Source organism: Homo sapiens, chromosome 14 (assembly GCF_000001405.40).
Source record: "Homo sapiens chromosome 14, GRCh38.p14 Primary Assembly".
Taxonomy (NCBI): Eukaryota; Metazoa; Chordata; class Mammalia; order Primates; family Hominidae; genus Homo; species Homo sapiens.
This window is the reverse complement of record NC_000014.9, coordinates 70295048-70314565: the sequence shown is the minus strand read 5'-3', so window position 1 is coordinate 70314565 and position 19518 is coordinate 70295048. Positions and strand designations below refer to the sequence as shown.

Sequence of the window (19518 nt, the reverse complement as noted above, 5' to 3'; positions counted from 1 at the left end):
GCCCTAAGCAGTTCCCAGCTTGACTTTTCCCTTTAGCTTAGTGATTTGGGGGCCCCAAGATTTATTTTCCTTTCAAATTTCCCCCTTTATCTTTTTAAAAATCTTTTGGAGAAAGGACTTTAGAAGAAAATGAGTCTCTGGTCTCACATTTTCTCTGATCTTTCATGTTTAGGATGGTTTATTCCTAGACAGGTAGGTCCCGAGTTATTAGGAAAGCTCATTTTCAGCAGGTTGTGAAGTCTTATATTCTATGAAGAGAAAATAGGGGGAGGAAGGGAGAAAAGCAACATCAAACTAAAGAACAATCCTGGGAAATCAATATAGGCCACATTACTATGAAGTCCATATATCAGTAGGCAGGTATGAAAGTGGCTTATGTATGTAAACAGGTTGCTGTTACTTTCTTCTGAAGTTTAGTTGTCTAGCTTCAGTTCACAGGGCTTTACAAAAGCACAGCTTAGTTTTTGGTGGTTCCAAATTAGGAAAAATGGGGGAAAAAAAGAAGGAAAAAATGGAAAACATTATTTTGCAGGCTTGTAGCCAAGAAAAATTAGAATTCAGTCCAAACTGTAGAAAATAATAAAAATTGAAAAACATTAGACAAGACTAGAATCTAACAACAGGTGTTGTATTCATCCATTTTCATGCTGCTGATAAAGACATACCCAAGACTGGGTAATTTACAAAGAAAAAGGGGTTTAACGGACTCACAGTTTCATGTGGCTGGGGAGGTCTCACAATCATGGCAGAAGGCAAAAGTCATGTCCTACATGGCGGCAGACAAGAGAAAATTAGAACCATGCAAAAGGGATTTCCACTTATAAAACCATCAGATCTCATGAGACTTATTCACTACCATGAGAACAGTATGGGGGAAACTGCCCCCCACAACATGATTCAATTATCTCCCACCAGGTCCTTCCCACAACGTGTGGGAATTATGGGAGCTACAATTCAAGATGAGATTTGGGTGGGGACACAGCCAAACCATATTAAGTGTACTACAGTTTTTGAAATATAATTTTTCTCTCTCTAGTTTTCCATTTTTACAAAAGACAAATCATGGTAGGACTGATTTGCTTTATTATACTTGGCTTGATTATTTGTATATAGTGCAGCAAGAATAATTATTTATTTTTTACATAGGCTTTTAAATTGGCTTTGATGGAATTTTGTTCCATAGAAGGAATCTCACATAAGACTTTTTTAAAGCTGAGCCCAGCCATGGATTTGGACCATCAAATACTTATGAGTTGGGTGAATTCCTCTCTTCTTCAGGTTCCAAGATAAACTTGGGGCTCCTGAGCCTGTCAGAAAGTGACATTCTTTACTTACCACAGGTCAGGAACCCTGTACAGGGACTGTGTAGACAAAGATATAAGGCCAGTTTTTCCAAGGGGCTTATATTGGCTCCATAAGTCAAGTTTGATTCCTTAAAGGAAAGCACACCATTCCAGTCAAAGCCTTGGTAAAATAACCAGTTTCTCCAATTGTGTCCTGTTACAAATGAAAACAGATTCTTATTGTACTTATGCAAATAACTATTATCATAAATTAAGAATACTCACAGGCCAGGTGCAGTGGCTCACACCTGTAATCCCAGCACTTTGGGACGCCGAGGCGAGTGGATCACAAGATCAGGAGTTTGAGACCAGCCTGGCCAATATGGTGAAACCCCGCCTCTACTAAAAATATAAAAATTAGCCAGGCGTGGTGGTGGGTGCCTGTAGTCCTAGCTACTCGGGAGGCTGAGGCAGCAGAATTGCCTGAACCCGAGAGGCGGAGGTTGCAGTGAGCTGAGATCGTGTCATTGCTCTCCAGCCTGGGTGACAGAGCAAGCCTCCATCTCAAAAAAAAAAAAAAAAAAAAGAATATTCACAAATAGTTCCCAAATTATGTAGAAATCAGGTAGAGAGAAACAAAGGGAATATACTTTACTCAATTGTTAAAAGCTGTAAATAGCTTAAAAGTCTTTTTGACTCTGAAAAACAAAACAAAGGATCAGCAACGTTTTATTCTATTAGTTTAGTCCATGCACTTAATTCCTATTCTGTTTGTTATTCAGGAGCATTTCAACTCTCTATGAGCCCTGAAAGTTTCTCCTCTATTCTGATGTCACAATCTCCAAAGCTATCAGAAAACTGCATTCAAGAGCACCTGTTAAGAGTTTTATAGCTGATTATAAAACCACCTTCTAAAGAGGACCAAAACAAGACAAGAAGGGCAGCCGTAGTCAAAGACACAATTGACAAGGAAATTTGTTACCTCTGTGTCACACAATAATTTAACATAACAATTATAATTATTACTGATAACATACACTAAGTCATATCAGAATTATAGGAGTTTCCCATAATTTTGGAACACATACCAGCAACATATTTATACAAATACGGCCCAAAGAAAAACCAAATACCATTTCATATTTGACAATGCTTCCTGTATAATTTCTATATCAAATAAGCCAAACATGTCATTTTTTGACTTTAGGGATCCTATTAATAATATCTTAAAGGATTAATTAGGTCAGAAATGACATAATGTATAATTTGATTTTGGAAAGTTTGTCAAATATCAAAGGTTTAAAATACTTGATACCAGGCCAGGCATGGTGGCTCATTCCTGTAATCCCAGCACTTTGGGAGGCCAAGGTGAGTGGATCACCTGAGGTCAGGAGTTTGAGACCAGCCTGGCTAATATGGTGAAACCCCATCTCCACTAAAAATACAAAAAATTAGCCAGGTGTGGTGGTGCACTTCTGTAGTCCCAGCTACTTGGAAGGCTGAGGCAGGAGAATTGCTTGAACACAGGAGGCAGAGGTTGCAGTGAGCTGAGATCATGCCATTGCACTCCAACCTGGGCAACAGAGCGAGACTCCATTTTAAAAAGTAATAATAATAATAATAATAATAAATAAATAAAACACTTGATATCACAAAATGGGATTACAGGCCATTGTAAAGTAAGTCATTCATTTAACCAAAGTGATAACTCAAGGATTTCAAAAAAGAGAAAACCTTCATTCTTTGAGAGAGAAGACTTAATTTTCCAAATAATAAGCCCTAATAAAAATAGCATGAAGCCAATTAAATTTGTTTTTCAAATTTTACCCATATGCTAGTCTTGCAGAGGTGTGACTTTGACATTAATGGTTAATTTGTAGAGAAACTGAACTTATTTTATCTCTTAAAATCGGCCCTCACAATCTCACATGCCCACCTCTTCCACAATAGTCCCTGGGCCTTGTGGAGTTGAACGGCTTTAATTTCTGGGCCTGTGTCTCAAGAAGGTAGTTTATTTTGATTGGCATCTTCTATGGGGCCTGAAGATGAGGCTTTAATTGCTGTCAGTGTTTAAGAGTTAGAAAGGGATGGCCGAATAGGAACTGCTCCAGTCTACAGCTCCCAGTGTGAGTGACACAGAAGATGGGTATTTCTGCATTTCCAACTGAGGTACAAGGTTCATCTCACTGGGACTTGTTGGACAGTGGGTGCAGCCCATGTGAGTGTGAGTCAAAGAAGGGCGGGGTATCGCCTCACCCTGGAAGCACAAGGGTTCGGAGAATTCCCTTTCCTAGCAAAGGGAAGCCGTGACAGACGGTACCTGGAAAATCGGGACACTCCCACCCTAATACTGCGCTTTTCCAATGGTCTTAGCAAACGGCACACCAGGAGATTATATCCCATGCCTGGCTGGGAGGGTCCCATGCCCATGGAGCCTTGCTCACTGCTAACACAGCAGTCTGAGATTGAACTGCAAGGTGGCAGTGAGGCTGAGGGAGGGGCGTCTGCAATTGCTGAGGCTTGACTAGGTAAACAAAGCGGCCGGGAAGCTTGAACTGGGTGGAGCCCACTGCAGCTCTAGGAGGCCTGCCTGCCTCTGTAGACTCCACCTCTGGGGTCAGGGCACAGCTGAACAAAAGGCAGCAGAAACTTCTGCAGACTTAAACGTCCCTGTCTGACAGCTTTGAAGAGAGTAGTGGTTCTCCCAGCACGGAGTTTGAGATTTGAGAACTGACAGACTGCCTCCTCAAGTGGGTCCCTGACCCCCGAATAGCCTAACTGGGAGACAACTCCCAGTAGGGGCCGACTGACACCTCATACAGCCGGGTGCCCCTCTGAGACGAAGCTTCTAGAGGAAGGATCAGGCAGCAACATTTGCTGTTCTGCAATATTTGCTGTTCTGCAGCCTCCGCTAGTGATACCCCAGCAAACAGGGTCTGGAGAGGACCTCCAGCAAACTCCAACAGACCTGCAGCTGAGGGTCCTGACTGTTAGAAGGAAAACTAACAAACAGAAAGGAATAGGATCAACATCAATAAAAAGGACATCCACACCAAAACCCCATCTGTAGGTCACCATCATCAAAGACCAAAGGTAGATAAAACCACAAAGATGGGGAGAAACCAGAGCAGAAAAGCTGAAAATTCTAAAAGTCAGAGCACCTCTTCTCCTCCAAAAGAATGCAGCTCCTCACCAGCAATGGAACAAAGCTGGACGGAGAATGACTTTGACAAGTTGACAGAAGTAGGCTTCAAAAGATCAGTAAGTAAAACAAACTTCTCTGAGCTAAAGGAGGATGTTCAAACCCATCGCAAAGAAGCTAAAAACATTGAAAAAAGATTAGACAAATGGATAACTAGAATAAACAGCGTAGCGAAGACCTTAAATGACCTGATGGAGCTGAAAACCATGGCACAAGAACTACATGATGCACGCATAAGCTTCAGCAGCCGATTTGATCAAATGGAAGAAAGGGTATCAGTGACTGAAGATCAAATGAATGAAATGAAGTGAGAAGAGAAGTTTAGAGAAAAAAAGAGTTAAAAGAAACGAACAAATCCTCCAAGAAATATGGGACTATGTGAAAAGACCAAATCTTCGTCTGATTGGTGTACCTGAAAGTGACGGGGAGAACCAAGTTGGAAAACGCTCTTCAGGATATTATCGAGGAGAACTTCCCCAACCTAGCAAGGCAGGCCAACATTGAAATTCAGGAAATACAGAGAATGCCATAAAGATACTCCTTGAGAAGAGCAACCCCAAGACACATAATTGTCAGATTCACCAAGGTTGAAATGACAGAAAAAATGTTAAGGGCAGCCAGAGAGAAAGGTCGCGTTACCCACAAAGGGAAGCCCATCAGACTAACAGCGGACCTCTCAGCAGAAACTCTATAAGCCAGAAGAGAGTGGGGGCCAATATTCAACATTCTTAAAGAAAATAATTTTCAACCCAGAATTTCATATCCAGCCAAACTTCATAGGTGAAGGAGAAATAAAATCCTTTACAGACAAGCAAATGCTGAGGGATTTTGTCACCACCAGCCTTACAAGAGCTCCTGAAGGAAACACTAAACATGAAAAAGAACTGGTACCAGCCACTGGAAAAACATGCCAAATTGTAAAGACCATTGATGCTAGGAAGAAACTGCATCAACTAACAAGCAAAATAACCAGCTAACATCATAATGACAGGATCAAATTCACATATAACAATATTAACCTTAAATGTAAATGGGCTAAATGCCCCCAATTAAAAGACACAGACTGGCAAATTCGATAATGAGTCAAGACGCATCATCAGTGTGCTGTATTCAGGAGACCCATCTCATGTGCAGAGACACACATAGGCTCAAAATAAAGGGATGGAGGAAGATCTACCAAGCAAATGGAAAGCAAAAGAAAAGCAGGGGTTGCAATCCCAGTCTCTGATAAAACAGACTTTAAGCCAACAAAGATCAAAAGAGACAAAGAAGGCCATTACATAATGGTAAAGGGATCAATTCAACAAGAAGAGATAACTATCCTAAATATATATGCACCCAATACAGGAGCACCCAGCTTCATAAAGCAAGTCCTTAGAGACCTACAAAGAGACTTAGACTTCCACACAATAATAATAGGAGACTTTAACACTCCACTGTCAACATTAGACAGATCAATGAGACAGAAAGTTAACAAGGATATCCAGGACTTTAACTCAGCTCTGCACCAAGCAGACCTAATAGACTTCTACAGAACTCTCCACCCCAAATCAACAGAATATACATTCTTCTCCGCACCACATGGCACTTATTCCAAAATTGACCACATAGTTGGAAGTAAAGCGCTCCTCAACAAATGTAAAAGAACAGAAATTATAACAAACTGTCTCTCAGACCACAGTGCAATCAAATTAGAACTCAGGATTAAGAAACTCACTCAAAACCACTCAACTACATGGAAACTGAACAACCTGCTCCTGAATGGCTATTGAGTAAATAACTAAGTGAAAGCAGAAATAAAGATGTTCTTTGAAACCAATGAGAACAAAGACATGACGTACCAGAATCTCTGGGACACATTTAAAGTAGTGTGTAGAGGGAAATTTATAGCACTAAATGCCCACAAGAGAAAGCAGGAAAGATCTAAAATTGACACCCTAAAATCACAATGAAAAGAACTAGAGAAGCAAGAGCAAACACATTCAAAAGCTAGCAGAAGGTAAGAAATAACTAAGATCAGAGCCAGAACTGAAGGAGATAGAGACATGAAAAACCCTTCAAAAAATCAATGAATCTAGGAGCTGGTTTTTTGAAAAGATCAACAAAATTGATAGACCACTAGCAAGACTAATACAGAAGAAAAGAGAGAAGAATCAAATAGACTCAATAAAAAATGATAAAGGGGATGTCACCACCAATCCCACAGAAATACAAATGACCATCAGAGAATACTATAAACACCTCTGTGCAAATAAACTAGAAAATCTACCTTCCTGGACACATACACCCTCCCAAGACTAAACCAGGAAGAAGTTGAATCCCTGAATAGATCAATAACAGGCTCTGAAATTGAGGTAATAATTAATAGCCTACCAACCAAAAAAAGTCCAGGACCAGATGGATTCACAGCCGAATTCTACCAGAGGTACAAAGAGGAGCTGGTACCATTCCTTCTGAAACTATTCCAATCAATAGAAAACAAGGGAATTCTCCCTAACTCATTTTATGAGGCCAGCATCATCCTGATACCATAGCCTGGCAGAGACACAACAAAAAAAGAGAATTATAGACCAATATCCCTGATGAACATTGAAGTGAAAATGCTCAATAAAATACTAGCAAACTGAATCCAGCAGCACATCAAAAAGCTTATCCATCATGATCAAGTTGGCTTCATCCCTGGGATGCATGGCTGGTTTAACATATGCAAATCAATAAACGTAATCCATTATATAAACAGAACCAAAGACAAAAACCACATGATTGGGGCTGGGAGCGGTGGCTCACACCTGTAGTCCCAACACTTTGGGAGGCCAAGGTGGGCAGATCACGAGGTCAGGAGATTGAGACCATCCTGGCTAACATGGTGAAACCCCATCTCTACTAAAAATACAAAAAATTAGCTGGGTGTGGTGGTGGGTGCCTGTAGTTGCAGCTACTCGGGAGGCTGAGGCAGGAGAATGGCGTGAACCTGGGAGGCGGAGCTTGCAGTGAGCCAAGATCGCGCCACTGCACTCCAGCCTGGGCAACAAAGCGAGACTCTGTCTCAAAAACAAAAACCAAAAAAAAGCCCCACATGATTATCTCAATAGATGCAGAAAAAGCATTCAACAGCCCTTCATGCTAAAAACTCTCAATAAACTAGGTATTGATGGGACGTATCTCAAAATAATAAGAGCTATTTATGACAAACCCACAGCCAATATCATACTGAATGGGCAAAAACTGGAAGCATTCCCTTTGAAAACTGGCACAAGACAGGGATGCCCTCTCTCACCACTCCTATTCAACATAGTGTTGGAAGTTCTGACCAGGGCAATCAGGCAGGAGAAAGAAATAAAGGGTATTCAGTTAGGAAAAGAGGAAATCAAATTGTCCCTGATTGCAGATGACATGATTGTATATTTAGAAAACCCCATCGTCTTAGCCCAAAATCTCCTTAAGCTGATAAGTAACTTTAGCAAAGTCTCAGGATACAAAATCAATGTGAAAAAATCACAAGCATTCCTATACACCAATAAGAGACAAACAGAGAGCCAAATCATGAGTGAACTCCCATTCACTATTACTTCAAAGAGAATACCTAGGAATCCAACTTACAAGGGACGTGAAGGACCTCTTCAAGGAGAACTACAAACCACTGCTCAACAAAATAAAAGAGGACACAAACAAATAGAAGAACATTCCATGCTCACAGATAGGAAGAGTCAGTATCATGAAAATGGCCATGCTGCCCAAGATAATTTATAGATTCAATGCCATCCCCATCAAGCTACCAATGACTTTTTTCACAGAATTGAAAAAAACTACTTTAAAGTTCATATGGAACCAAAAAAGAGCCCACATTGCCAAGGAAATCATAAGCCAGAAGAACAAGGCTGGAGGCATCATGCCACCTGACTTCAAACTATACTACAAGGCTACAGTAACTAAAACAGCATGGTACTGGTACCAAAACAGAGATATAGACCAATGGAACAGAACAGAGCCCTCAGAAATAATACCACATATCTACAACCATCTGATCTTTGACAAACCTGACAAAAACAAGAAATGGGGAAAGGATTCCCTATTTAATAAATGGTGCTGGGAAAACTGGCTAGCCATATGTAGAAAGCTGAAACTGGATCCCTTCCTTACACCTTAAACCAAAATTAATTAAAGATGGATTAAATACTTAAATGTTAGGCCTAAAACCATAAAAACCCTAGAAGAAAACCTAGGCAATACCATTCAGGACATAGGCATGGGCAAGGACTTCATGACTAAAATACCAAAAGCAATGGCAATAAAAGCCAAAATTGGCAAATGGGATCTAATTAAACTAAACAGCTGCTGCACAGCAAAAGAAACTACCATCAGAGTGAACAGGCAACCTACAGAACAGGAGAAAATTTTTTACAATCTACCCATCTGAAAAAAGGCTAGCATCCAGAATCTACAAAGAACTTAAACAAATTTACAAGAAAAAATCAAACAACCCCATCAAAAAGTGGGCAAAGGATATGAACAGACACTTCTCAAAAGAAGACATTTATGCAGCCAACAGACACATGAAAAAATGCTCATCATCACTGGCCATCAGAGAAATGCAAATCAAAACCACAATGAGATACCATCTCACACCAGTTAGAATGGTGATCATTAAAAAGTCAGGAAAACAACAGGTTCTGGTGAGGATGTGGAGAAATAGGAACACTTTTACACTGTTGGTGGGACTGTAAACTAGTTCAACCATTGTGGAAGACAGTGTGGCAATTCCTCAAGGATCTAGAACTAGAAATACTATTTGACCCAGCCATCCCATTACTGGGTATATACCCAAAGGATTATAAATCATGCTACTATAAAGACACATGCACACGTATGTTTATTGCGGCACTATTCACAATAGCAAATACTTGGAACCAACCCACATGTCCATCAGTGATAGACTGGGTTAAGAAAATGTGGCACATATACAACATGGAATACTATGAAGCCATAAAAAAGGATGAGTTCATGTCCTTTGTAGGGAGATAGATGAAGCTGGAAACCATCATTCTGAGCAAACTCTTGGAAGGACAGAAAACCAAACACTGCATGTTCTCACTCATAGGTGGGAACTGAACAATGAGAACACTTGGACACAGGGTGGGGAACACCACAAACCGGGGCCTGTTGTACAGTCAGGGGATGGGGGAAGGATAGCATTAAGAGAAATAATGTAAATGACGAGTTAATGGGTGCAGCACACCAACTTGGCACATGTATACATATGTAACAAACCTGAATGTTGTGCACATGTACCCTAGAACTTAAAGGATAATAATTTTAAAAAGGGCAAAAAAAAAAAGATTTAGCAAGACTTGGTGTCCTTTTTAGACCCAAGTGTCAAAGCCCTGTAACTTAATGTCACAAGTACTTTTAAATCACATACAGAAAGATACATGGATGTAAGAACCTCAATTAAAAAAAAAAATTAATCTCAGTTTTTTCCTAAGCAAAGCAAAACTTTAATAATAATGATATAGAAATTATTTTAATAAAATGTAAAATTTGTTAGGTCAGTTACCAAAAGGAAAAAGACCTTCTGCAATGTACATAATATTATTTTGTAAGAAAACATTTCCTTTACATCTTTAAGAAAGTATTGTTAGCATCAGGCTACAACAAACAGATCTTGAAGAAAAAAAAATATGAGCTGAAAATGAGTTGAAGGAGATTGTTATTATTTCATGCCTTTTAAAAGGGGAGAGAAAACCAGAAACAGTGAGATGCACTAAACATTAAACTTTGGGTTAAAAAATTAAAATCTCTTATAATTTATTAAGAGTAAATCAATCCCTTTAGGGAATTTTATTGTTCTAATCAATTCTTTAGTGTACAAGTGTTTTTTTTTTACATCAAGCCCATTCTCTAGAAAGACCATTATAATTTCCCTTTAATTATAGATAACTTGATCATATAAATGTTTTTTTTAATAAAACCTTTTATTGTGACTTACACAGACCATTAATGATATGTTTGGACTTTCTGGTTTGTCCTGAACATTCCTCTTTCTTAAACAACCAGTCATTTTATTCTAGGTCTAAATTTACCGTACAAGATTCTGTAACTGCCCAAGGGGTTCGCTTTATCTGCTGCCTAGACAGAGTCAATTTATCAAGACAGGGCAATTGTAATAAAGAGTAATTAATGCAGAGCTGGCTGTGCAGGAGACCAGAATGTTATTATTACTCAAATCAGTCTCCCTGACAACTCTGGTATTTGTGTTTTTAAAATTAATTTGGTGGGTGGGGGATGGGGACAGTGAATTGGGAGTGCTGATTGGTTGGCTTGGGGATGAAATCATAGGGAGTCCAGGCTGTTCTCATCTGCTGAGTCAGTTCCTGGGTGGGAGCCACAGAACTGGTTGGCAGATCCAGGTGGGGCCATCTGGTTGTTAAAAATGCAAAAACCTGAAAAGACATCTCAAAAGGACGATCTTAGGTTCACAATAGTGACGTTACCTTCAAGAGTAATTGGGGAAGTTGTAAATCTAATGACCTGTGGAATAATGGCGGGTAATATTTAGAATTCCAGCCCCTCTCATCTTGACTTGGTGGCTGGTGGCCTTTCATTTGTTTTATAAGAACAGTTTAGCCTTTTGGGGAGGGCTATTATATAAACTATACACTAAATCCCTTCCCAAAGCTAGTTTGGCCTATGCCCAGGAATGAACAAGGACAGTTTAGAGGTTAGAAGCAAGATGGGGTCAGTTAGGTCTGATATCTTTCATTGTCATAATTTTCTCAGTTATGATTTTTACAAAATGGCTTCAATGCTTTCTCATGTAAAATTATTTCTTTTTAAGCTTTCTTACCAAAAAATGCCTCTTTATCTCATACCGTTCTTTACATTTCCCCTATTTCCTGGTTCCTTTAAACTTGTTTTATACATAACCTTTAAATAAGCTTTTAATTAGACGAAAATTGTTCACCTTTTTAAAAAGGACACTTTTTTTTAGAAAGAATGTTTTCCTACAATATATTTTTATCAGAAAATACCCAAATAATGAAATATCATTTAATTTAACTTTAGATTCTAAATTATGACATTTGTCTACAAGTATTTATCCCATTATATTTACCTAATTATTTTATTTTATTCATTTACCTAGATTATTTATGAAAACTACGATAGTCATCATTTAAAGTTATGAAACTCACCATTACAAAATTCTAACTGAGGCAGTGAAAAATATATGACCTAACTTACTCCATCTTGCTTCTAACCTCCAAGCTTGTCCTTATTCATTTCTGGACTTTGGGAGGAACTTATAGTTTAGCTTTGAAACAAAGATGGTAACAGTCCTTTCCCAAAACAAATCTCCTTACTGCCTGTGGACTATGCTGCCTAAAGCCACAAGATTAGAAGTTATGTTAGTTTTACTAAATAATTCAAGATGTAGTTATTTCCATTAAACCAATATCAATGTCTTATTTATTAAAGATCACACAAGCAAAGATTATTCTGTATTAGGCTAGGTTTATAGTTTTGTAACCCCTGTGCCAAATTCTGACACCTCATAGTATTTGGTAGGGATAAGTATGAAATTGCTTGATTAATAAATGCAAATAAAAATGTATGCTGGCAATTCTTAAGACATTTCTAATACTACTTTACCAATAATTTTAAAGCTAGTTTATTTATTAATGATTTTAAGTCTCATAAACTTGAAAAAGCATTTGACTAGTCTTTCCTTTTTCTGATAAAGTATTTGATTTAAGTGCTTTTATTTTTATTTAGCCAATTAATTAGACCTCTCATATATTTTCAGTAGTGAAATGTTGTGTACACAACACATAAATACATAGATGTATTAGGCTTGCTGATAGAAGAATATCTTATAGATTAACAAAGACCTTTTTCCCCCTCATCTTAGACTTTCAGATTCTTGATAACCTGTTTCACAACTCAAGGCAGTTGTCAGATAAAAAGCCTTAAATGTGCATATTAAAGGAAACAACTCAGGTGAAAATCAAATAGCAAAATTTACATCATAAGGTACAGAAAGAAAAAGGCTAGTGGTGCTAGAGGAACATTAAAGATGATGCCAAATCAAACATAACATAGAAATCTATCGTAGGATTGTATAAGGAGACCAATTTTATTTAGACAGGAACTATCTGTCAGGCCTCTGAGCCTAAGCCAAGCCATCGCATCTTCTGTGACTTGCATGTATATGCCTAGATGGCTTGAAGTAACTGAAGAATCATAAAAAAGTGAAAATGCCCTGCCCTGCCTTAACTGATGACATTGTCTTGCAAAATTCCTTCTCCTGGCTCATCCTGGCTCAAAAGCTCCCCTACTGAGCACCTTGTGACCCCCACTCTGCCCGCCAGAGAACAACCCCCCTTTCACTGTAATTTTCCTTTATCTACCCAAATCCTATAAAATGGCCCCACCCTTATCTCCCTTCACTGACTCTTTTTGGACTCAGCCCGCCTGCACCCAGGTGAAATAGCCATGTTGCTCACACAAAGACTGTTTGGTGGTCTCTTCACATGGACGCACATGAAATTCAGTGCCATGACTCGGATCGGGAGACCTCCCTTGAGAGATCAATCCCCTGTCCTCCTGCTCTTTGCTCCGTGAGAAAGATCCACCTACGACCTCAGGTCCTCAGACCAACCAGCCCAAGAAACATCTCACCAATTTCAAATCCAGTAAGTGGCCTCTTTTTACTCTCTTCTCCAACCTCCCTCACTATCCCTCAATCTTTCTCCTTTCAATCTTGACACCACACTTCAATCTCTCCCTTCTTTTAATTTCAATTCCTTTCATTTTCTGGTAGAGACAAAGGAGACACGTTTTATCCGTGGACCCAAAACTCCGGCGCCAGTCACGGACTGGGAAGGCAGCCTTCCCTTGGTGTTTAATCATTGCAGGGACGCCTCTGATTATTCACCCACGTTTCAGAGGTGTCAGACCACGCAGGGACGCCTGCCTTGGTCCTTCACCCTTAGCGGCAAGTCCTGCTTTTCTGGGGGAGGGGCAAGTACCCCAACCCCTTCTCTCTGTGTCTCTACCCCTTCTCCGCCGTTCTGGGGGGGCAAGAAACCCCCAACCCCTTCTCCTTCACCCTTAGCAAGTCCCGCTTTTCTGGAGGAAGGGCAAGTACCCCAACCTTGTATCTCTGTGCCCCGTTCCCTTATTTCCATGCCCTGACCTCTTATCTCTGCACCCAATCCCTTATTTCTGTGCCCTGACCTCTTATCTCTGTGCCCCAATCCCTTATTTCCACGCCCCATCCTCTTATCTCTGTGCCCCAATCCCTTATTTATGCACCCCAACCCCTTTCCCGCTTTTCTGGAGGGTAAGAACCCCCGAACCCCTTCCCTCCTTGTCTCTACTCTCTCTTTTCTCTAGGCTTGCCTCCTTCACTATGGACAACCTTCCACCCTCCATTCCTCCTTCTTCTCCCTTAGCCTGTGTTCTCAAGAACTCAAAACCTCTTCAACTCACACCTGACCTAAAACCTAAACCCCTTATTTTCTTCTGCAACACTGCTTGGCCCCAATACAAACTTGGCAATGGCTCTAAATGGCCAGAAAACAGCACTTTCGATTTCTCCACCCTACAAGACCTAAATAATTTTTGTTGAAAAATAGGCAAATGGTCTGAGGTGCCTTATGTCCAGGCATTTTTCACACTTCGTTCCCTCCCTAGTCTCTGTTCCCAATGCGATTCCTCCCAAATCCTCCTTCTTTCCCTCCCGCCTGTCCCCTCAGTCCCAAACCCAGCGTCACTGAGTCTTTCCAGTCTTCCTTTTTCTACAGACCCATCTGACCTTTCCCCTCCTCCCCAGGCTGCTCGTCACCAGGCCAAGCTAAGTCCTAATTCTTCCTCAGCCTCTGCTCCTCCACCCTATAATCCTTCTATCACCTCCCCTCCTCACACCCGGTCCGGCTTACAGTTTAGTTTGCGACTAGTTCTTCCCCACCTGCCCAACAATTTCCTCTTAGAGAGGTGGCGGGAGCTGAAGGCATAGTCAAGGTACATGTACCTTTTTCTCTATCAGACCTCTCTCAGATCAGTCAGCGTTTAGGCTCTTTCTCATCAGACCCCACTAAATATATACGGCAATTCCAATATCTCTCTGTCCTACAGTTTAACCTGGAGTGACTTAAATGTCATCCTGACTTCTACCCTCCCCCTAGATGAAAGGGAAAGAGTTTTTTCTCTAGCCCAATCTCACGCTAATAACCACCAGCTTCACGAGCCAGACCTCCAGGAAGGCATTAGAGCAGTCCCCCAAGAGGATCCCCAATAGAACTATCAGGCAAATTCCCCAGGTATAGCTAGGCAAGATTACATGATTTCCTGCCTAGTTGAAGGGCTTAAAAAGGCAGCTTACAAAGCTGTTAATTATAACAAGCTTAAAGAAACTACCCAAGGTAAAGACGAAAACCCAGCCCAGTTCATGGCCAGCTTGGCAGCAACCCTTAGACGCTTTACTGCCCTAGACCCAGAAAAGCCAGAAGGCCGCCTTATTCTCAATATGCATTTTATCACCCAGTCAGCTCCTGACATTAGGAAAAAACTTCAGAAATTAGAATCTGGCCCTCAAACCCCACAACAGGAATTAATCAACCTCGCCTTCAAAGTGTACAATAATAGAGAGGAAGCAGCCAGACGGCAACGCATTTCTGAGTTACAATTACTTGCCTCTGCTGTGAGACAAAACCCAGCCACACCTCCAGCATACAAGAACTTCAAAATGCCTAAGCCGCACATGCCTAAGCCACAGCAGTCAAGCATTCCTACAAGACTTCCTCCATCAGGATCTTGCTTCAAGTGCCAGAAATCTGGCCACTAGGCCAAAGAATGCCCGCAGCCCAGGATTCCTCCCAAGCCATGTCCCATCTGTGCAGGGACCCACTAGAAGAGAGACTGCCCAGCTCGCCCGGCAGCCACTCCTAGAGCCCCTAAAGCTCTAGCCCAAGGCTCTCTTACTGACTCCTTCCCAGATCTGCTTGGCTTAGCGACTGAAGATTGACGCTGCCCGATCGCCTCGGAAGCCCCCTAGACCATCACGGATGCCGAGCTTCAGGTAACTCTCACAGTAGAAGGTAAGTCCATCCCCTGTCTAATCGATATGAAGGCTACCCACACCATGTTGCCTTCTTTTCAAAGGCCTGTTTCCCTTGCCCCGATAACTGTTGTAAGTATTGATGGCCAAGCTTCAAAACCCCTGAAAACTCCCCCACTCTAGTGCCAACTTGGACAACACTCTTTCATGCACTCTTTTTTAGTTATCCCCACCTGCCCAGTTCCCTTATTAGGCCAAGATATTTTAACCAAATTATCTGCTTCCCTGACTATTCCTGGACTACAGCCACATCTCATTGCCACCCTTCTCCCCAATCCAAACCCTCCTTCGCATCTTCCTCTCGTATCCCCCCACCTTAACCCACAAGTATAAGACATCTCTACTCCTTCCCTGGCAACCGATCACATGCCCATTACCATCCCATTAAAACCTAATCACCCTTACCCCGCTCAACGCCAGTATCCCATCCCACAGCACGCTTTAAAAGGATTAAAGCCTGTTATCACTCACCTGCTACAGCATGGGCTTCTAAAACCTATAAACTCTCCTTACAATTCCCCCATTTTACCTGTCCAAAAACTGGACAAGTCTTACAGATTAGTTCAGGATCTGCGCCTTATCAACCAAATTGTTTTGCCTATCCACCCTGTGGTGCCCAACCCGTAAACTCTTTTGTCCTCAATACCTTCCTCCACAACTCACTATTCAGTTCTTAATCTTAAAGATGCTTTTTTCACTATTCCCCTGCACCCCTCATCCCAGCCTCTCTTTGCTTTCACCTGGACTGACCCTGACACCCATCAGTCCCAGCAGCTTACCTAGGCTGTGCTGCCGCAAGGTTTCAAGGACAGCCTTCATTACTTCAGCCAAGCTCTTTCTCATGATTTACTTTCTTTCCACCCCTCCACTTCTCACCTTATTCAATATATTGATGACCTTCTTCTTTGTAGCCCCTTTGAATCTTCTCAACAAGACACACTTCTGCTCCTTCAGCATTTATTCTCCAAAGGATATCAGGATACGTATCCCCCTCCAAAGCTCAAATTTCTTCTCCATCCGTTACCTACCTCGGCATAATTCTTCATAAAAACACAAGTGCTCTCCCTGCTGATTGTGTCCGACTAATCTCTCAAACCCCAACCCCTTCTACAAAACAACAACTCCTTTCTTCCTCGGCATAGTTAGATACTTTCACCTTTAGATACCTAGTTTTGCCATCCTAACAAGACCATTATATAAACTCACAAAAAGAAACCTAGCTGACCCCATAGATCCTAAATCCTTTCCCCACTCATCTTTCCGTTCCTTGAAGACAGCTTTAGAGACTGCCCCAACTCTAGCTCTCCCTGACTCATCCCAACCCTCTTCATTACACACAGCTGAAGTGCAGGGCTGTGCAGTCACAATTCTTACACAAGGACCAGGATTGCGTCCTGTAGCCTTTTTGTCCAAACAACTTGACCTTACTGTTTTAAGCTGGCCATTATGTCTCCGTGCAGTGGCTGCTGCCGCCCTAATACTTTTAGAGGCCCTTAAAATCACAAACTATGCTCAACTCACTCTCTACAGCTCTCATAATTTCCAAAATCTATTTTCTTCCTCACACCTGACGCATATACTTTCTGCTCCCCAGCTCCTTCAGCTGTACTCACTCTTTGTTGAGTCTCCCACAATTACCATTGTTCCTGGCCCGGACTTCAATCTGGCCTCCCACATTATTCCGGATACCACACCTGACCCCCATGACTGCATCTCTCTGATCCACCTGACGTTCACCCCATTTCCCACATTTCCTTCTTCCCTGTTTCTCACCCTGATCACACTTGGTTTATTGATGGCAGTTCCACCAGGCCTAATCGCCACACACCAGCAAAGGCAGGCTATGCTACAGTACAAGCCACTAGCCGGCCTCTTAAAACCTCTCATTTCCTTTCCATCGTGGAAATCTATCCTCAAGGAAATAACTTCTCAGTGTTCCATCTGCTATTCTACTACTTCTCAGGGATTATTCACGCGCCCTCCCTTCCCTACACATCCAGCTTGAGGATTTGCCCCCACCCAGGACTGGCAAATAGCTTTACTCAACATGCCCCGAGTCAGATAATTAAAATACCTCTTAGTCTAGATAGACACTTTCACTGGATAAGTAGAGGCCTTTCCTACAGGGTCTGAGAAGGCCACCGCAGTCATTTCTTCCCTTCTGTCAAACATAGTTCCTCGGTTAGGCCTTCCTACCTCTATACAGTCTCAAAACAGACCAGCCTTTACTAGCCAAATCACCCAAGCAGTTTCTCAGGCTCTTAGCATTCAGTGGAACCTTCATATCCCTTACCATCCTCAATCTTCAGGAAAGGTAGAACGGACTAATAGTCTTTTAAAGACACACCTCACCAAGCTCAGCCTCCAAATTAAAGATTAGACAGTTTGGGCAAGACTTTTACCTCTTGCCCTTCTCAGAATTAGAGCCTGTCCTCGAGATGCTACAAGGTACAGTCCATTTGAACTTTTATATGGATGCACTTTCTTGCTTGGCCCCAACCTCATCCCAGACACCAGCCCTCTAGGCGACTATCTTCCAGTCCTCCAACAGGCTAGACAGGAAATTCGCCAGGCTGCTAATCTTCTCTTGCCTACTCCAGATCCCCAGCCATATGAAGACACCCTAGCTAGATGATCAGTTCTTAAGAATCTGACCCCTCAGACTCTACAACCTTGATGGACCGGACCCTACTTAGTCATCTATAGTACCCCGACTGCCGTCCGCCTGCAGGATCCTCCCCACTAAGTTCACCATTCCAGAATAAAGCTGTGTCCATTGGACAGCCAGCTTAATCCCTCCTCTTCCTCCTGGAAGTCGCAAGTACTCTCCCCTACTTCCCTTAAACTCACTCGTATTTCTGAAGAACAGTAATAACCCTTATGAGCCTAATACATCCCTTCATTCTATTAGGTCTGTTCGTCCTTACCCTACTTTTTGCAACAAGGCTTTACGAAGTCACCCCCACCACTTAGGCCGAGCCCCAAAAAAACCTGTCATCCCTACTATTTTCTATCTAGTCATACTCCTATTCTCCGTTCTCAACTACTTAAAAATGCCCTACTCTTGTTTACACTGCCAGTTTACACTGTTTCTTCAAGCCATCACAGCTGATATCTCTTGATGCTATCCCCAAACCGCCACTCTTAATTCCCTCTTAAAGTAGGTAGATGATCTTTGCTGGCAGGGCACCCTCCAATACTTCCACCTTGATGAAGTTCTATTCTTTACTTTTATACTCACTCTTATTCTCATTCCCATTATTATGCCACCCTTTACCTCTCCCCAGCTATCTCCACCACACTATCAACCTTACCCATTCTCTCCTAGCCGCTTCTAATCCCTCCTTAGCGAACAACTGCTAGCTTTGCATTTCCCTTTCTTCCAGTGCCTACACAGCTGTCCCCGCCTTACAGACAGACTAGGCAACATCTCCTGTCTCCTTACACCTCCGAACTTCCTTTAAAGCCCTCACCTTTACCCTCCTGAAGAACTCATTTACTTTCTAGACAAGTCCAGCAAGACTTCCCCAGACATTTCAGATCAGCAAGCTGCCGCCCTCCTCCGCACTTATTTAAAAAACCTTTCTCCTTATATTAACTCTACTCCCCCCATATTTAGACCTCTCACAACACAAACTACTATTCCTGTGGCCGCTCCTTTGAGTATCTCTCAGCAAAGACCCACTAGAATTCCCCTAGGTAATCTTTCACCTTCTCGATGTTCCTTTACTCTTCATATCCGAAGCCCAACTACACACATCACTGAAACAATTAGAGCCTTCCAGCTCCATATTACAGACAAACCCTCTATCAATACATACAAACTTAAAAACGTTAGCAGTAATTATTACTTAAGAAGACACTTACCCTGTATTTCACTCCACCCTTAGCTACCTTCCCCTTGCTCGTCAGACTCT

At 41.7% G+C, this 19518-nt stretch overlaps 1 long non-coding RNA gene across 3 annotated transcripts in view, besides 1 other annotated feature; it reads right to left on the bottom strand.

Moving 5' to 3' along the window:
• The window catches only part of LOC101928046 (uncharacterized), a 60419-nt gene that overhangs the window by 672 nt on the left and 40229 nt on the right, over positions 1-19518 (bottom strand). For all 3 annotated transcript variants that reach the window (XR_007064236.1, XR_943988.2, XR_943989.1), the window contains 2 exons: positions 712-766; positions 148-248 (listed from right to left, as the gene is read on the bottom strand). This is a non-coding gene — a long non-coding RNA (uncharacterized LOC101928046). The remainder of the gene's footprint in view (positions 1-147; positions 249-711; positions 767-19518) is intronic.
• Positions 12285-12975: an enhancer, noted in NCBI's record as "OCT4-NANOG hESC enhancer chr14:70768308-70768998 (GRCh37/hg19 assembly coordinates)". NCBI's record gives its function as "activates a minimal SCP1, AML or CMV promoter by ChIP-STARR-seq in primed H9 embryonic stem cells {active_cell/tissue: H9 hESC(primed)}" and the evidence as "EXISTENCE:reporter gene assay evidence [ECO:0000049][PMID:30033119]".